Below are 6000 nucleotides of genomic sequence, written 5' to 3'. Positions count from 1 at the left end.
AATTGATGCAAGATCTACATTGAAATTTTTATGTTGACTAATTCCTTATAAAAACAGAATTGATATATTATTGGTCTAGAGGCAGGTGAGGGGGAAGAGGGTAGAAAGTGCTCTGGATGGGGAAGAGGAAGAAAACACTTATTAAGTGATACATACAGCGTGTTAGACAATGTATTATAAACTTGGTGTTCCTAATAGTCCAATGAGTAAATAATACTAGCTTCATTTTACAAGTAAAGAAACTGAGATTTAAGAAAGTTAATCATCTAGTTCAAGTTTGCACAACTATTGGAAGCAGTAAAGCCTGCACCAGCATCGGCCTCACCCTGTTAAAACACAGATGGCTAGGCCCGCCCCTGGAGTTTCTGATTGAGTGGGTCTTGGGTGAAGCCCAAGAACCTGCCTTTCAAAGGAGCTCCCAGTGATGCAGAGGCTGCCCGTCTGGGGACCACAGTAAGAGCCGCAGCTGGTTCTAGGCCAGGTGGTTCCACGGATGAGATCAAGCTTTGTGGATCTCAGGAAACATGGATGCACTTAGAAGAACAATGTTAAAAACCTGGATCCTAAACAGAGTGGCCCAGGAAGAATCCAATTTAAGCCACTATGCATGCTATTGTGTTTGAAGACATTATTTGTAATACACTTTAATGGAAAACAAGGAAAGAAAAATCAGAAATTCTCTTTGGCATCATTTTCTGTATTTTTACTGTTGATAACAAAGAAATCAAAAAATAAATGTTATATGATACACACAAACACACACACGTCTATCTTCAGAAAAGAAACATACATATATTTGGAAGGAGTTGTAGTTTTTCATTTTCCATGTGAAAAATTGAGGATATTCTTCTCCAGCTTGATTGTTAACCATCAACTAATTTCTCGCTACCCTCATACAGTACAAAACAACGTGGAGAATTTTTATGAGGCAAAATTTATACCAAAAACTCCCCTCCATCTCTCCTCCATATTGTGAATGAGACCCTACAGTGACGAAGACTCCTTTTCTATCTTTCTAGATTCCTGAGGCATATTTCCGAATTTGGAGTCAGTCTATTTGACAAGTAGAGGCACATCTCTACCACGGGGCCCCCATCTGTGGGTGTGCATGCGTTTCAGCCATGAGAGTGACAGAGGCCAGAACACGTGGCTAGACTCTCGCCAAGTCCATCAGACCGTTGTTAAGAGGGCTGGAAGAGCCAAACCACAGCACCATCAATGCTGTGATTTATGCTTTGAAAACACTCCAAGTGGAGCAGCCACACATTTATCAATACTAATGCAGGAACTGCATCTGTGAGAAAAATAAGAAAAACAGACAAACAAAAGGGGTAGTAGTGCTTACACTCTGTAAAGGAAGGGTGTCCCGTAGTTTAATAACCTTTTCTATCCCAACTAAACCCTATCTCAGCATATCTTTTTAAAAAGTGGTGATTTCTCCTGAGCAATAAGCAATCTAGACCAAAATCTCCTTGATGATAAGAGGCCATTTCTGATATACTTTGGTTTTCCTACTTTCTGAACTGGCTCAGATGTGCTTACAGGTTGCAGAGGCAGTGCAGAAGTCAAACACAACCTTGGATGCGTCATCGCTTCTGGCTCTGCAGGCCCTCTCTGGACCAGTGTTTTCTGCTGTCCTTCCTTCTGTGCCTACTTGTGTCCCTTTGCTGGGAACTGACTCATCCAGAGCCTTTGGATTTGCACTTGATGCCTGGGTCTGGACTCTGCTTTTGTTCCTAGGCATTGTCTCCAGTTCTCTCTCTTCCTTTCCAAATGCTACGGCCAGCTCTGCCCACTGGGGATCCCTGCATGGCTCCTAGAACCCTGGTACTGATGCAATCACTGGCCAAGTGGCCCAAATGGAAAAGTGGGTGAGGGGAGACTTCAGACGCTCACACAGCACCTAATAAGTAACTGCACAACGAGGGTTTCATAAGGGATGGAGGAAGAAAGGAAGGAAGGAAGGAAGGAAGGAAGGAAGGAAGGAAAAGAGGATGGGAACACAGGGTGCAATGAGGAAGGGTACTCTAGCCTGCCTGGGCAGGTCACCAGCAAATGTCTATAGAAAGCCCAGAAGCAAGTGGGGCCACAGGCCTCAGAGCTGATGTCCACGTGATTCCTTTATTCTCTTTCCACCACTGATCTCAAATTACAGTTCCTGTGCAGATATTTAATAAACTTCTAGAAGTATGTTAATAAAATCTTCATACTTTCATACTCCCTAATATGCCTTTCATTCCATTCTATTTCAAGAAAGCCATTATGTTTTAGTAATTTTACTCAGATAGGTCTTCATGAAGATACATATTTTTCTTAATGGAAGATGTTTTTGAAAGCTTTTCTTCTCTTCTACCTCCATTCGCAGTCACTTTAGAACCAAAAAAAAGAAAAGCTAAGTTGAGGAATCTCCCAGTTCTTCTATTTGCTTTTGAATGGCAAAAGTTCCCCAGTTCTTATCAGAATAGCTCATCCGTTCACCTATTAATCACAGGAGGACCACTGAATGTCCAGATTGCTGCAGGCCACCTCCTACGACACAGAAGATCCTTCTGTGAAGAAGCATAAACGAACAATTTTGACTCATCGTCCATTCTAAAGGAAACAGCACAAACAAAAAGTGCGTGTGTCCATTATGGAGAAATCCGTAATTTTATTCTCAGCAATCCAACTCTGTTGAATCCTGTGGAGTACATGGAAAAAAGATAGGATCATTGGAAATGCTACAAAGAGTTTTCGAAATGAAATTTTAGCTCAGGCTTTGACACTTACCACACATGTACTTTTTTAAAAAGCTGCATGACATGATGTTACAATTAAAAAGAAAACATCAAAACATGTTGTCACATGCAAATATAAAACAATGGGCCGTGTCTTAGAGCATCTGCTTCAAGTTAACTACAGATGTGAAATGTTGATAGAAATTATTATCATTGGTGGGTGTTTTGTACTTTACATTATATCACGATTTACTTAATTGGTTCAGACATATTTTAATAAATTTGATCTTAATCCAACCAGGCAGAAGTGTTCTGAAAAATTTACGTAATTGTTATTATAATACCTGAATGCGCTCAAGTAAAGTGCTTTCAACAGTGTCTAGGTATTTAGGAATTTGGAGTTTGGTTTTCAGAGTCTATGAAAATCCCATAGACATTACAATATAAGGCTCTTTTTCCATCTGAAGAAATTTTTACTCCTTTAATGGAAAATCTCAGAGAGAATTTTGGAAAAAGACAAAAAAGGGAGACAGAAGGCCTTTAATTAACATATTTTACATCAAATCACATGTATCGTTCTCTTGGCTCTGCACCTAGGACCTGTCCCCACTGGATGGTGACAGAGGCAGATCACAGCAAGACAGCCTAGCTACTGAAGGCATGTGGCTGAGAGAATCCTGGTGTTCCAGGTGAAAGTTCCAAGACGCTGCATCTTCAGGTCACTCTGGGGTCAAAGATAGTTTCCCATGAGGCTTAGTGGCCAATTGCAGTTCAGAAATAAATAAAAACAATAGAAATAGATAAGCATCCATGTTGATGAATATTGCACTGTACCTGGCACATAATAAACACTCAACAAAATGAAATAAAGCAAAATAAGATTAAACACCAAGAGAACATCGTGAAATCTAACTGAAAAGAACAATACATTTAAAATAAAGCATGCATTATCACTTTGTTATCTAGACTGAACTGTTCAATATAGTAGCCACATGTGACTAATTTAAATTTTAACTAATTAAAATGTGATGAAATTTAAAAATTAGTTCCTCCATTGCACTAGACACATTTCAAGTGACTAACAGGCACTTAGGACTGTATGTACACTGCAGTAGACACAAAGATAAAGAATATTTTCATCATCAAACAAGGTTCTGTTTAAAAGTAGCGCTGCTCTAAACAATTGCCTGGAAGACCCTTGAAGGAATAAAACACGGCTCTGAAATTTTTGATGGAGGAAATACACAGAAAGGACAGAGCAAATGGTACTTTACAGAAAAGCTAATTCATGTGATACCCAAATTGAGGAGAAAAAAGGCTGGGCGTGGTGGCTCACGCCTGTAATCCTAGCACTTTGGGAGGCCAAGGTGGGCTGATAACCCGAGGTCAGGAGTTCGAGATTAGCCTGGCCAACATGGTGAAACCACGTCTCTACGAACAATACAAAAATTAGCCAGGCATGGTGGCACGTGCCTGTAATCCCAGCTACTTGGGCGGCTGAGGCAAGAGAATAGCTTGAATCCTGGAGGCAGAAGTTGCAGTGAGTGAGATCATGACACTGCACACTGCACTCCAGCCTGGGCAGCAGCGTGAGACTCCATCTCAAAAAAAAAAAAAAAAAGGAGAAAAATATACATTTTTATGGGGACATACAGAATATCTGGAGATTCGTTTTGAGGGTGAAATCCCAGGGGAAAAACCACTGAATCATCTAAATCCATCTGCTTATTTTTTGTGTTGTAAAATACAAAGAGGGAAAAATCATTGTTTTAAATCAGGTTAATAAGACACTATTTGATGTTATTTTTAGTGTTCAATGTAGACTTACAGTCAACACATCAAAGAATGAAATGATCTGTGATACTTGGTGACAGGCAAAAGTACATGGAAATAAAAATTTATGGTATAAGGCATTATTTTCAATTTGGTTTTTCATATTTTTCTTTCAGTGGGAAGATAGCAAGTCTCATCACTTACAGCTTTTTTGTATGACTTATGATGACAATCCACCTAAGTGGTTGAATGCACCATTAAATTTTATCTTCAGTATATTCCCAACATGAAACCTAAATCTCTATTAAGCCTCAGCAATATAATGCAGTAAATTTCTCCAGAGTAGGGATAACCATTACGTCTCTGTAAAAAAACATCATTTTTTCCACATATGAAAATGGTTAAACTAAAAATTTAATGACTGAATCTAGAAAAGCTCCTTTAGGCCACAGAAAATGAGTTTAATCTGTGAATGTGATTTATGGCTGTCGGGGCAGCAAACTTCATCATGCAGCCATAGCACACAATAAAATATGTTGCAATACTTGCCCTTCCTAATGATGCCTGTCTTTGTCCTATGCATGTATTTAGTACCTTGGTGATTCTCTCCGAGCTATAAGAACATCTATATCCACCCTGCTAGATGAGGCAGATGTAACACCAGCTATCAAGATTACTGACCTATGACTGAAATATTGCTCAGAAGTAATGTTTTTCTATCCTTAGAACTACAGCATTCTATTTCATCCTGGAGGTAATTTGAAATATAGAGGGGGAGGGTGAAAGTATTAAGTTAATGAATTAAACAAGACAGCTACTTAAATTAAGTCACATCCACCCAATTAAGCCAATGTACTGGGAACTACAGCCACTTACCATGTAGTTGTGTATGCAAAATTATAACACAAATTTTCACTGAATGAACCAACACTGTGAGTTTTCTCAAGGAATCTGGGGCATTTTTGTTACACAGGAAATGCTAATCAAGGTAAGTTCAAGGGACACTGCTTTGATCAGTGTTATAACTATAACTTCCTGCCAAATAACTGAGGTTTAATTTGGCCACATATTCTCATTACTTTATAATTAATCAAAATTTATGTAATTTCTTAGCCATTTAAATATGCATTTATAATTTTCATATAGTTCTTCATACCAAGAATGAACATATTGAAGAAAAATATTGTTGGTACATCAAATGCTGATAAAAGTTAAAATATGCTATTTTGATATATTTTATATGAAGAGGTATTCAAATATTATCACTAAGAATTTCCTTCATTAACATTCACATATTTCGAAGGTAAAAATTCATAAATTTTCACATAATATTTTGCCATTGTCTTATTCCCTGTATTGTTTATTTGCTGTGTAACAAATCAGTACTCCAAAACTTATGCCCTAAAATAACACATATTTATTGTTTAATACTCCTGTGGGTCAGAAATCTGGGCACAACTTAGCTGGGTCTTCTGCTTCAGGGTTTCTGACAAGGCTGTGATCCAGGTGA

At 38.4% G+C, this 6000-nt stretch overlaps 1 long non-coding RNA gene across 1 annotated transcript in view; it reads right to left on the bottom strand.

Annotated features, from left to right (window-relative positions):
• Nucleotides 1-681: 681 nt before the first annotated feature.
• Nucleotides 682-6000, bottom strand: part of LINC00540 (long intergenic non-protein coding RNA 540) — a 66237-nt gene continuing 60918 nt past the window's right edge. Inside the window, exon 2 of the long non-coding RNA NR_103810.1 lies at nucleotides 682-2680. This is a non-coding gene — a long non-coding RNA (long intergenic non-protein coding RNA 540). The remainder of the gene's footprint in view (nucleotides 2681-6000) is intronic.

This window comes from Homo sapiens, chromosome 13, assembly GCF_000001405.40.
Source record: "Homo sapiens chromosome 13, GRCh38.p14 Primary Assembly".
Taxonomy (NCBI): Eukaryota; Metazoa; Chordata; class Mammalia; order Primates; family Hominidae; genus Homo; species Homo sapiens.
Note: the sequence above shows the minus strand (reverse complement) of the source record. Positions and strands in the feature narration are given on the sequence as shown.